The sequence below is a fragment of the Homo sapiens genome, chromosome 7, assembly GCF_000001405.40.
Source record: "Homo sapiens chromosome 7, GRCh38.p14 Primary Assembly".
Classification (NCBI taxonomy): Eukaryota; Metazoa; Chordata; class Mammalia; order Primates; family Hominidae; genus Homo; species Homo sapiens.
The window spans coordinates 64074528-64088444 of NC_000007.14; the positions used below are offsets into that span (position 1 = coordinate 64074528).

The following is a 13917-nucleotide window of genomic DNA, read 5'->3' on the forward strand; positions in this document are numbered from 1 at the left end:
AGAGGAGTAGGGGAGACATTGAGATTTGGTCGAGATTTGAGAGAGGCCAGGGACAGATGTCATATGTTTTCTGCTTTATAATTTCCAGTCAACTGATCATACAGAAAATGAAAGTGATAACTTTTATCAGAGTACAAAGCATCTGATTAAGTACAAGAAAATCTAAACATCTATTTCACTTCGAAAGTATCTTTATTTTAGTAGGAACTAAGCTTAGAAATTTAAATGCTGTATGAGAAATGCCTGTACTGTGGAATAGTTGATTTGATCTACTCAGCTCACAGAACGCATGAAAACACTAATACCATAGGACACTGTCCAGCATATAATAAACTCGAAATTGTTACCTCTTTCTTAATAACCATTATTTTTAAATTTTATCTTCTTTACTATGAAGATTACTAGGGCTGTGTCCTATATATATTTTTTTCTTTCTTTCTGATTTGCTGTATACCAACTATGCCTGTAATTTCACAGGTTCTGAGCTAATGTACTCAAATGTATATGTTATATAAAAAGTGAATTAGATAATTAATAGGCACACCATATATTAAAATCTTTGATTTATATGTCTAAGTTTACTGCATACAAAATGTTATCAGCATTTTCATCAACTTTTCTCAGACTTTGTCTATATAATTGTATAAATTTATTTCTAATTGTTCATTTTATTTTATATCATATTGTACTGTATTTATATTGTTTATATTATTTAGTAATATAATGCTTTGCTTCCAAAGGTCACCTTATTGCCTTTACATTTTGTGCAAAAATAGTAGCTATATATTAATGACATAATAAATATGTCCAGTATTATTTAAGTGCCTATTTCATCATATTTTCTCATCAAAGCTTTTTATAAATGATTATAATGCATTTTCTATAACATGTTATTGCTGTCACTATATACTAGTGATTCAAACTTCATTGTCTTCAATAGCAACAACCTGAAATCAATCTAGTTGCCTATCAGTGGTGGATTGGATAAAGAATATGTGGTGCCTATACACTATGAAATAGTACACAGCCAAAAAAAAATTATGCTCTTTGTAGCAACACTGATGCAGCTGAAAGCCATTATCTTAAGTAAATTAATGCAAAAACAGAAAGCCAAATACTACATGTTCTTACTTACAAGTGAGAGCTAAATATTGGGTATACATGGATATAAAGATGGAAACAATAGATGCTGGAGACCACTAGTGGAGGAAGGGAGGAAAGAGACAAGGCCTGAAAAGCTACCTATGGGGTACTGTGCCGTCTACCTGAGTAGTAGTAGCAATATCCCAAAACTTTGCAGTACATAATATACCAATGTAACAGACCTAGCCATGTAGCCTCTGAACATGTAGGAAAAGTTCAAATTGAACAAAAATACCAAAATATGTGCTCTTTATAAATGTGCAGTCACATTTAAAATGCATGGCTATCTAGAATAATTATTTTTTAGTAGTACACTATGTTGATTCAATATTTTTTGGTTAATTTTTTTGTTAAATTTTGTTTACTATTTTATATTTTAGTGGCTCATGTTTTAGTTGGCTATGTCATTAATTAATTGTGCTTTTAGTTTTTATTTGTGTATAATTTTTTATGCCAATATTCAACTCTGTACACATTAAAACAATATTCGGACAGAAGTCAGATATGAATCAGTCATACATATATTGCCATTATAATTATTTATGTGTTTGTTTGCCTGTGTAAAATATTACTCCTATTTTATGACTTGTATATTTACTTTTTTATTTTTTGGTTATTAGTCAATGATTGTTTTATTCTTAATTGTAAAAACTACAAGGGTCAGGCGTGGTGGCTCACACCTGTATTCCCTGCATTTTGAGTGGTCCAGGCGGGCGGATCACCCAAGGTCAGAAGTTCAAGATTAGCCTGGCCAACACGGTGAAACCCCATCTCTAGTAAACATACAAAATTAGCCAGGTGAGGCACGCCTATAATCTTAGCTACTCCGGAGGCTGAGGCAGGAGAATTGCCTGAACCCTGGAGATGGAGGTTGGATTGCACCACTGCACTCCAGTCTGGGCGACAGAGAGAGAATTTGTCTCAAAAAAAAAATTATGGAGACTTCTTTTATGTGTTGTATGGTCTCTTCTGAGAATGTGCCATATGTACTTGAGAAGAATGTGTGTTCTAGTATTGTTGAGTAGAGAGTTCTAGATGGTTTGCAATTCTGTTCCAGTTTCTATTTCTTTACTTCTTTGATCTTCTGCCTGTAGTCACTTGCTATACCCATTCTCTGTCTATGACACTGAAGTGTCTCTGCTGTCTGAAACTGTCAAAGTATACCACCTTTATTTTCAACACTGTCATGGAATACAGAAATTAGTCTTTGGTAAGGTCTCAAAAAGCCAGAAACATGAACACATGTACCACTGTTTTATTTATTTTTGGAGGGGGAAGACAGGAATTGGGAGTCTATATTTAAAGTCATCATGGGATGAAGAATGGCTGTGGTGGGTAAATATGAAATACTTTTATTACACTTCTATGTGGTTCTTGGCATTTTTCTCACGAGGTGCTACAAATGCTTAACTGGTTCTTACACTTCTCACAAAGGCATTTTGGTCAGTATATTTCTGTTAAGCTTATATGTCTATAAAGGAAGTAGAGCCTGTGGTATTTTATTATGTCACCTTGTTAATGTGCTTTGTATAATTATATATTTGTAAAGTGTATTCACCTAAGTCTGATGAGGGAGAAATTTTGTGGTTCTTTTTTTTTTTTCAGCTGGCTCTTTGCATTTTACTGCAGAGATATTGCTGGAGCACGACATAAACGATTCATTTCAAAAAGTGATCCTGAGAAAATCTGGAAGCTGTGACCTTAATACTTTACGTTTAAAGAAAGACTACCAACGTGTGGGTAATTGCAAGGGGCAGAAAAGCAGTTATAATGGCATTCATCAATGTTTGTCAGCTACCCGTAGCAAAACCTGTCAATATAATAAATGTGGCAAAGCTTTTGGGTTGTGCTCAATCTTCACTGAACATAAGAAAATTTTTAGCAGAGAGAAATGCTACAAATGTGAAGAATGTGGCAAAGACTGTAGGTTGTCAGATTTTACCATACAGAAGAGAATTCATACTGCAGATAGAAGTTACAAATGTGAAGAATGTGGCAAAGCCTGTAAAAAGTTCTCAAACCTTACTGAACATAATAGAGTTCATACTGGAAAGAAACCCTACAAATGTGAAGAATGTGGCAAAACATTTACCTGTTCCTCAGCCCTTACTAAACACAAGAGAAATCATACTGGAGACAGACCCTACAAATGCGAAGAATGTCACAAAGCCTTTAGGTGTTGCTCAGACCTTACTAAACATAAGAGAATTCATACTGGAGAGAAACCCTACAAATGTAAAGAATGTCACAAAGCCTTTAGGTGTTGCTCAGACCTTACTAAACATAAGAGAATTCATACTGGAGAGAAACCCTACAAATGTAATGAATGTGGAAAAGCTTTTATGTGGATCTCGGCCCTTAGTCAACATAACAGAATTCATACTGGAGAGAAACCCTACATTTGTGAAGAATGTGGCAAAGCCTTTACCTACTCCTCAACCCTTATTAGCCACAAGAGAATTCATATGGAATTGAGACCTTACAAATGTGAAGAATGTGGCAAAACCTTTAAGTGGTTCTCAGACCTGACTAATCATAAGAGAATTCACACTGGAGAGAAACCCTACAAATGTGAAGAATGTGGCAAAAGCTTTACCTGCTCCTCAAACCTTATTAAACACAAGAGAATTCATATGGAAGTGAGACCTTACAAATGTGAAGAATGTGGCAAAACCTTTAAGTGGTTCCCAGACCTGACTAATCATAAGAGAATTCACACTGGAGAGAAGCCCTACAAATGTGAAGAATGTGGCAAAACCTTTACCTGCTCCTCAAGCCTTATTAAACACAAGAGAAGTCATACTGGAGACAGACCTACAAGTGCAAAGAATGTGGCAAAGCCTTTAGGTGGTTCTCAGACCTTACTAAACATAAGGTAATTCATACTGGAGATAAACCTTACAAATGTAATGAATGTGGAAAAGCTTTTACGTGGATCTTGGCCCTTAGTAAACACAAGAGAATTCATACTGGAGAGAAACCCTACATTTGTGAAGAATGTGGCAAAGCCTTTATCCGCTCCTCAACCCTTACAAGCCACAAGAGAATTCATATGGAAGAGAGACCTTACAAATGTGAAGAATGCGGCAAAACCTGTGTTTCTCAGACCTGACTAATCAAAAGAGAATTCACCCTGGAGAGAATCCCTACAAATCTGAAGAATGTAACAAAGGCTATAGGTGGTTCTGAGACCTTGCTAAACATAAGATAATTCATATTGGAGAGAAACCCTACAAATGTAATGAATGTGGAAAAGGTTTTATGTGGATCTCGGCCCTTAGAAAACATAAGAGAATTCATACTGGAGAGACACCCTACATCCATGAAGAATGTGGCAAGGCCTTTACCTACTCCTCAATCCTTATTAACCACAAGAGAATTCATATGGAAGAGGGACCTTACAAATGCGAAGAATGTGGCAAAACCTTTATGTGGCTCTCAGACTTTACTAATCATAAGAGAATTCACCCTGGTGAGAAACCCTACAAATGTGAAGAATGTGGCAAAGTATTGAGCTCGTTCTCACACGTCATTAGACATAAGACAATTCATAGTAGAGAGAAGCTCCACAAGTGTTAAAAATGTGGAAAAGCCTTTAACAATTCGTCATATTGTGTTCAACATCAGAGACTTACTACTGAACAAATGTAGTATAAAGGTAATGACTTGAAGAACATTTAATAACATCTTAGAGGGTCTCTAAGAACTTGCTTCATAACTGGGTGCTTTTGTGTTGGATGCATATATAGCCCTTTACTATTATGTAATGCCATTTTTTGTCTTTTTAAAAAAATCTGTTGATTTAAAGTCTGTTTTGTCAGAAACTAGGATTGTAATCCTTGCTTTTTTACTGTTTTCTATTTGCTTGGTAGACTTTTCCCTTTATTTTGAGCTTATTTGAAATGGGTATCTCAATTACAGCATACCATTAGATCTTGGTTCTTTATTTGCCACTCTGTTTTTTAATTTGGGCATTTAACCCATGTACATTTAAGGTTTGTATTCATATGTGTGGATTTGATTCTGTCATGATCATCTTAGCTGGCTATTTTGCACATTTGTTTATGTGGTGGCTTTATCATGTCAGTGGTTTGTGTACTTTAGTGTGTTTTTGTAGTGACTGTTTATAGTCTTTTTCTTATTTAGGGCTTTCTTCAGAAGATCTTTTAAGGCAGGTCTTGTGGTAACAGATTTCCTCAGCATTTGCTTATCTGAATACGATCATATTTATTTTTTGCTTCTGAAGCTTACTTTGGCCGGATGTGAACTTCTGGATTAGAATTCTTTTTTAAAGAAAGTTGAATATTGGCCATTAATCTCTTTTGACTTGAGGGATCTCAGCTGCAAGGTTCATTGTTGTCTGAGCTTCTTTTTAGAGGTGACCTGGTCTTTCTCTCTAGCTGCCTTTAACATATTTTTTTCTCTCATTTTGACCTTGGAGAATCTCATGATTATGTATCTTGGGGATGACCTTCTCGTGGGGTATATTATTGGGGTTCTCCACATTTCTTGCCTTTGAATGTTGGCCTCTCTAGTTTGGGGAAATTCTCATGGATGGTATCCCGAAATATGTATTTCAAGTTGTTTTCATTCTCTCCATCACTTTCAAGCACTCTCTTTAATTATAGATTTGGTTTATTTACATAATCTGTTATTTCTTGGAGGTTTTGTTCATTCCTCTTTATACTTTTTTCACTATTCTTGTCTGTCTTATTTCAGAAAGCCAGTCTTGAAGCTCTGAGATTCTTCCCTCTGCTTGGCCTATTCTTCTATTAACACTTGTGATTACATTATAAAGGTTTTGTATTGTGTTTTTCAGTTCTATCATGTTGGCCATATTTTTCTCTAGACTGGCTGTTTTTTCCATCACTTCCTGCAATTATTTTTTTCTTCTTTGCATTGGGTTGCAACTTACCTTTGTAGATCAATGAAGTTTGCTTCTACCCATATTCTGAATTCTGCTTCTGTCATCTTAGGCCTTGCTGGTAATGTAATTTGGTCATTTGGATGAAAGAAGTCACTCTGGCTTTTTGTGTTTTCAACATTTTTGCACTGATTTTGTCTCATCTTTGTGGGCGTATCTTTAAAGTTGCTGAACTTTGAATGGGGTTTGGTTTTTTGGATCCTATTTGATGGTCTTGAGTATTTGATTGTGGTAAAAGGTGGATTCAGCCAACAGGCTTTGTTCCTGGGAGTTTTTTGTTTTTTGTTTTTTGTTTTTGTTTTTTTTTTTGTGGTGGTGGAGGGGGCAATGCTCAGCTCACAACTCAGAGGCTGCATACTCTAAATGCTCAGCTCACAACTTAGAGTCTGCATACTCTAACTCTGGGGGAGTTGTATTGAGCCCCAACTGTGTTCTGTGGCTCCTTGTGATTTGGAGTCTGCCACTCTGTGGGACTAAGGTGCCACAGCTGCTGCAGAGTGCTAGTGGATATGGGGTTTCTGCCTGTCTTTGGGTATTCACTTCAGTGGCAGGAGCAAAGCAGCTGGGAGGGGAGTGGGGGTTACCTGCTGGAGACTGTGTGCTATTTCACTAAAGGTGGTGTTGGCTTGGGGCAGGATACTGGCCAGTAAAGGTTTTGATGCCTTCTCTGTGCCCCCCAAGAAGGAATGATTGTTCAGAGTGTGGGAGGATACCCTGTTCTCCGCACAGTTTTACCACAAAGGCCAGGGTGGGGCTTTCTGGCTCTCTACCCGCCAAAGCTTCATCTACAATAGCAATTGCTGGGAGTGGCAGGGGCATACTACATTTCCATTTTCTGGTGGGGCAAGCAAAGCCAAACTCACCTTTGCAGACATGTGCCAGCAAAGTAATATGGGGAGTTGCCATGGTCTTGGGGGAAGCTGGAGTATAGGGAAGAAACATGTGAGCTGGTGCAGTCACAGGGGCTGCCTTGCCGGAGCTCTTCATGGGTCAGGCATGGCCCACCAGTGCAGATGCTATGGTATGGGCTCCTAGGGTACCTGAGACTGCCCTGTAAGCAGTTGTGGCCAGACTGGATCCCTGGGAGAGGCCAGCAGACCAAGGAGTGCTCAGTTGGATCAGCTTCTTCTGATTTGCAAGACCATCCTGCAGAAATTAGGTCCAACAGTTCCCCTAGGGCTAAAGTCTCTTATGGGAGAAAGTTGAGCCTATGGAAATGGCCGTCAATGGCCACACTCTACTACAGGTGCTCTTGCACTAAACCCTCTGGGTACCACATGAGCTGGGTTGCTGCCCCACCTCTTTGCCTGTCTTCTGGTTGCTGCATCTCAGAGACGTGTAGGCCAGCAATCACTCAGTGCAGTCCGACCAGGATGGAGGATCTGTGCTTTTGGCCAAATTAGGGGTTCACTGGTAATGAGCAGTGGGTAGTTTGTGGGACCCATGGAGGATGGACTGGCCCTCTCTCCTTGGGTAAACTACAGCTCGTTTGAGGTGTGAATAAGGCACTTAGGGTGTTGGATTTTTCATTAGTCTGAGGGTAGCAAGGACAGTTCTACTGCAGAGGCAATGGCAAAAATATTTTCAGTTGCTCTTGGAGGCTCTGTCTAGGGAGTTGCGAAGTTGCTACTGGCTCAATAGCTCTGGCAATGATTGGCTAGTGGCCCAGGCCTGGAGAACTTGCCCAGTGAGAATATATGAGAACAGGCACTCACGTAACAGTCTGGCCACTTTTCTGAAGGGCTGCTGCAGTATGCTGGGTGTCCACTGCAGTTTCTAGTCACCTCAGATTTTCCAGTACCTGACAACATTATCACCAGTGAATACTGTAAAACAGCAACAATGGCAGCATGCCCTTTTTTCTAAGAGCTCCATCTAAGGGAGGTATAGACCGGTTTCCAGCCCCAAAGCAACTGTAGGAGGTAGCTGGAAACCCCTGTTGAAAGGTCTTACCCAGTGAGGAGAACATGACTGGGGACCCACTTAAGAAAGCAGTGTAGGCTGGGCGCAGTGGCTCATGCCTGTAACCCTAGCACTTTGGGAGGCCGAGGCAGGTGGATTGCCTGAGCTCAGGAGTTCAAGACCAGCCTGGGCAACATGGTGAAATCCCACCTCTACTAAAATACAAAAAAAGAAAATTAGCCAGGTGTGGCGGCATGCACCAGTAGTCTCAGCTAATCGGGAGGCTGAGGCAGGAGAATTGCTTGAACCCAGGAGGCAGATGTTGCTGTGAGCGGAGATTGTGCCACTGCACTCCAGCCTGGTGAGAGAGCGAGACTCCGTCTCAAAAAAAAAAAAGAAAGAATGCAGTCTAGCCACATTTTTGTAGGACAGCTCTGCTGTGCAGAAGTACCACTTCCACCCCCAGTTTATTTGGACTCTTCAAAGCCAGAAGGCTGGAACAGCTAAGTCACACAAACAGCAAAAATGGCCGCTCACTCTTCCCTTTAGGAGCTGTATCCCAAAGAGGATTCAAAACTCCACTGATCAAAGAGCACCTGTGGTGGTAGCTGGAGACCCTGGTTGGGAACTGCTTTGCAGTGAGGAGGAATGAGATTGGGGACCTGCTTTAACAGACAGTCTGGCCATGTCTTTTTAGAGCGCCTGTACTGTGCTAGGAGATCCTTTCTGTCCCCGATCAGCTTGGGCTCTTCAACACATGAAGGTTGGAATGGCTAAGTTGCCCAAGAAGCAAAGATGGCGGCCCACTCCTCTTTCTGGTAGCTCCATCCCAGGGAGGTACCGTACTGCTACCAATGGTTGGCTGGAATTTTAAGCCAGTAGTTCTTACCCTGTGGGGCACTGTGGAAGTGGGTCCTGCAGACCATCACTGCTCAGCCCCCTGGATTTCGCCTCTTGCCTATGGGTATGTACAAGGTTATAACCTCCTGTTTGCTGAGTTGCAGCTACTTTTTCTGGGAAGCCTGGAAAGCCAGAGTATCTGAGGCTCTTGAATCTCTGCACAGGCCTCAGTGGCTGCTCTGCTGAGACTCCACATAGCTCTGTGTGTTAAATTGAAGGCCTTGGTGAAGTGGGTTCCTGAGGGTATCTCCTCACCCGAAGGTTGCAGAGATCTGTGGGAGAATCATGGGTTTCTAGGGTCACACATGCACTCACTGCTTTACTGGGTGGGGAGGTTCCTTTGGCTCCATGTTGTTCCCTGGTGGCCCATTGTCCTGCCTTGCTTTACTCCATTCTCCGTAAGTTAAGTTGTTTCTTTCATTAGTTCCAATGCAAGTACCTGGATGTTTCAGTTGAAGGTGCTGTATCTATGCACACCTTGCATTCTTCTCTGTGAGAGCTACACAGTCTAGCTCCTTCTACTTTTTTATATTAAAATAATTTATTTTCAAAGGCAAATATTGATGTAATTTAACTCTTACATTTGATGCTATGTCTTCATTCTAGAATTTATGTGAAAGAACATGGTCAATGGTTGCTGCACCAGAGTTAGGAGAAGTTCTTCCGTATCAGATGAAAAGATTTATATACTTTCCTATGGAAGATTAAGAGAAATGAAATCTAAGATACATGAAGAAATTCTAAGTGGAAAGGCCACTTAGTGGTTGATTTACAACAGCATTATAAGTGACAGGGTGATAGAAGTGTGGTAAGTGATTAGGATAATATTCTGCATAGTAAGAGAAACAATTTGAATTTTAGAAGGAAATTGCTTTACCATTTGCAAACTAAGGTAATTAAAATACAGTGAGTTTCAAAATGCCTTTTTAATGACAATGTATGAACTTAATTTATTTTAATAAACCAAAATTATTGTTATTGAGTTAAGGCTATTTTACACTGAATGTGTATCTTGCCACTGATGTTAACTTATCCCATCTTACCCAAGGTTGTAGGTCAACAGATGGTAACAATATACTATTGTGTGACTGTGGAATAACATCTCTAGTGATTTCTTTGTCAGTGGTCTTTAACTTACCATAATTTGGAGAATATGATTCCTACAAATTAACATTTTTGTTTTTCTTGTAACTACAGGTTATTATGATGTTTGTAATGAAGATGAGTATAATGGAGCTATATGTTTCTGAATTCTGAACAACTATTTACAAAATTTTATCCTACTTTTTTCTGTTGAAAATATGACTTCTCTCGTCTGCTAAACACGTACAGACCTTTAGTTTTGATTTACATCAATTTAAATATACAAATGTATCACTGTAAAATAAACTTTAAGTGTAACAGATTTATAGAGAAAATATTCGTATTTGTTTATGGTTGTATACCTATTTTGAGAAGAAAAGAAAAATATTAGAGTGAAACAGATAATTTTACATGTGTTGATATCTTGCCAGCAAACCAGTAATTTCAAAGATTTTGAAAGAAAATCTGTTTTCTCTGCTTTGTATTAAATTCATTTATCTGAAATGTTATTGCTCCTGACTTAGAATCATCTTTTGCAAATTCTTTTTTTGTTTGTTTGTCTGTTTTCTTGTTGTTCACCATAGGCATAATATATCATTTTCTTGTCATCTAATTTCAGAAAACATTATTTGTACTATCCCCTCAGAGATTATGAAAGTGACTGATAAAATTTAATGGTGTTCATAAAATAATTTTCACATGTAATTTCACACTGAGTGTATTATTGTATGTTATTTAGTATATTTTACATTTTGTTTCAATTAGAGAATGCTATTTAATCCAATTTTCATTTAGTTATTGATCATTTTACTTTGTAAAATTGATATAATTGATTTTATTAAATTTATTGGGTCAATTTATTCAAGTAGAGTTGAACATTTTATTTTGGCATATACATGAAATAAACCAACAAAAGTAATACTAGCTATGTAATAGAAGCTACATAATTAGAAATAACTTCTTTTTGAAATCAGCCTGTTGTCTCAGGTGAAAAATTGAAAGTATCTATAGTGGTGACATTCTGCATATGAAGAGAGTATAATCGTATCCATGCTGCACAATTGACTCTCACAATTGAAACAAGATAAAGAGATGGACATTTTAGCAAAACTAAGTGAAAACCTTGTAAAATTTTTGGATTATGTTTCTACATTTAAACATCTACTGGGGGAGGTAGAGGCCAATTCTATGCAGTTCAAACCTGGAATTGCTGACAGATGTTAAGGGTATGCTCCACAGGTATTGATGCCTAAAATGCCCTGAACTCTTTTCATTTAGATTAACAAAAATATGGTTTTAGTTTTCCTCCTCTATATTCTGGCTTAGACAGAATTATCAAGCTATTTCAAGTGGATTTGATTCTAGATCTTTTTTTTTTTTTTTTTTTTCCTGAAATGGAGTCTCACTCTGTTGCCCAGGCTGGAGTGCAGTGGCACAGTCTTGGCTCACTGCAACCTACACCTCCTAGGTTCAAGCAATTCTTTTGCCTCAGTCTCCCAAGTAGCTGGGACTACAGGCGCCCACCACCACACCTGGCTAATTGTTTGCATTTTTAGTAGGGACGGGGTTCACCATGTTAGCCAGGATGGTCTCAATCTCCTAACCTCATGATCTGCCCGACTCAACCTTCCAAAGTGCTGGGATTACAGGTGTGAGCCACTGCACCCAGCCTTGGTTCTAGATCTTGACACAGCACATCCTCAACTTACTGTCTCCGAGAATAGAAAAGCTGTGTGATATGGAAGAACAAAACCAAACATTTGTTATAGCTCAAGGAGATTTTATTTCTGCCCTGCTGTCCTGGGCTGTCAGAAGTGTAGTTCTGGCAGAAATTACTAGAAGGTAGAAGTGGGAAACGATCCTAAATGAAAATTGGGTGTGTGTTAAGACTGTCTTCTTAGGAACTGGCAGAATCGGCCTTCAGTTCTGGGTAGATTTTGGGCAATTGGGTGATATATAGATAGAGTGGTTATGTTGCATCAGGTCCTAAGGCAACTCAGCTTCTGCTAGTAGTAAAATCCAGTAAGATTGGTATTTTTTTGGACTATGAATTGGGTGATTTTTTAAAATAATAATTTTTAAAATATGTCAATTTTGAATTGCATACCTAGCTAAAAAATTTTAAGTTGAAGATGTAAAAATAATTCAGACAAGTAATATAAACTATGTTTTCTTAAATTATTTATTTAACAAATCTAATTACATTTTAAATAAATTGCTGTCACCTGTTAGTATTTGTGAAGCATATATATTTTTAAGATTTTGCCTCTAAAACAGGTAACAATTTGAACAAAGAGGAAAACAAAAATTCAATGATTGGCATGAAAATAAATCTCAGGAAAATAAAAGGTTTGTATGATGACCTAATTAAAATAATGTAAAGGATAAAAATCTTAATATTTGTTTTTACACATTTTTGCACAAAAGTAGCACTGAGATAGTAATGTGCAGAAAGTACTATTAATTATATTCTTGAGACTTTCTTATTGACTTTGGCACTTAGAGAACCTCCAGCACAGGCCCAGGATTCCCTAGGCATTTCTTCCAGGAGAACATCAATGGAAATGAAGCAGAAGGCCATGTCCACAAAGATAAATGGGTGCTCACCTCCTAGAGACCAGTGGGTGCAGGTTGCAGAAAGAGTGGGCCCTTCTTGGAGGTCCAGGAAGGGGCCATGGGCACCATCCTAGAAAAGGGGCCTGGAGCTCCATTGAGCCCTCCTGCCTGCATGGGGCCTCAGAGGGCCCTGGGTGAGGCCAGCCTAGGTGCTCTGTCCTGTCCCTGGCCCTTAAGTCCTGCCTCACCTGCTAGCTTTTTCCACAGAAATCAGGATGGCAATCCTCAGTGCAGCCCCACTAGAGGAAGGAGATCAAGAGTGTCAAGGCCCACACTCATCTTGGCACATTAAGTGACTTAATGATTAACTAGTCAATAAATAAGAGCAGAATGTGTGGCTGTGACCCCCCGAGATCACATTCTAGGAGGTACCCTGGGTGGCACCTGCCTGAGGCTGTGCATTGGAAGAAGGATGGACAGGTCAACTGGGCTTCAGTGAGCATGTACCCCTAGCCAGTCTGGGGAGACATGGACTTGGCAAGAGCAGGCAATAAGGGTGGCATACAGCAGACATGCTGAGCTGTCAGGTAGGCACAGAGGGGTAGGCATGAGCGGTCCCTGAAGGGGAGAACCCTCTCAGGGCCCTGAGCTCAGCCCAGAGATCCCCCAGCCTTTTGAAGCACAGGCTGTACCTGGAGCTGCACAAGTCGGGAGGGGCAAAAGCACTGGGCTGAGGCATCACCTTTTTTCTTCACTGGCTCCCATAAGCCTCAGGCTTCCCTAGGCATGCCTTGAGGAAGAAGATCCTTCTTCCTTGTGAGTGTAGGCGTAGAAGCAGCCAATCATGTGAGGTAAGCCCACCCACAGCCACTTTTGTGGGCCCACCTGGGCAACCTCACTCCAGTGGCCTGTGAAACCCAGCTGGAATTCCAGGGTCCAGAATTCACATTTGGTTCTAGAACCAAAGAGTTCAGCACCCAGGCCAGAACAGAAGTGGGCCTGTTAATTCCATGGCACAAGGCCCAAATCAGAAAACTGGCTTAACTGTTCAGCTGCACCCAGGCAGTGTGTGTATTGTCCCAAGCAAGTCCTGTTCTCTTCCTGGCTCCAATTATTTCACCTGCAACTTGTTATTTGTACCAGCTCTTTCTCTACCCCCCACATCCTGTGGTTTTTGAAATTCCTCTGAAGACTGCATGAACTAAGCTTTAAGGGTCACAGTGCTCTAGCCTATTCAGGCTTTGCCAGGAAGAGAGATCTCTCAACCTACCTTGACTCTTAAGAGTCATGTATAAATAGTACCAAGTCTAGCAGGAGGGCTGTCACATACTCAGACTCTTTTTCTGGTCTCCATACCAAAAGATACATTAGAATGACAAGGCAAATAAGACATAGACCTGGCAGTTCTG

The 13917-nt window shown here is 39.6% G+C and overlaps 1 protein-coding gene and 1 pseudogene across 4 annotated transcripts in view; both read left to right on the forward strand.

Moving 5' to 3' along the window:
• ZNF727 (zinc finger protein 727) overlaps positions 1–10812 on the forward strand; it is a 39906-nt gene extending 29094 nt beyond the window's left edge. For 2 of the 4 annotated variants that reach the window (NM_001159522.3, XM_017012225.3), the window contains one exon: positions 2749–10812. In NM_001159522.3, coding sequence (NP_001152994.1) covers positions 2749–4022 — 1274 coding nt within the window. In that variant the 3' untranslated portion in view covers positions 4023–10812. The remainder of the gene's footprint in view (positions 1–2748) is intronic. The other 2 variants (XR_242241.4, XR_927469.2) reach the window with 2 other exon arrangements.
• Positions 11029–12048, forward strand: TRIM60P17 (tripartite motif containing 60 pseudogene 17; annotated as a pseudogene).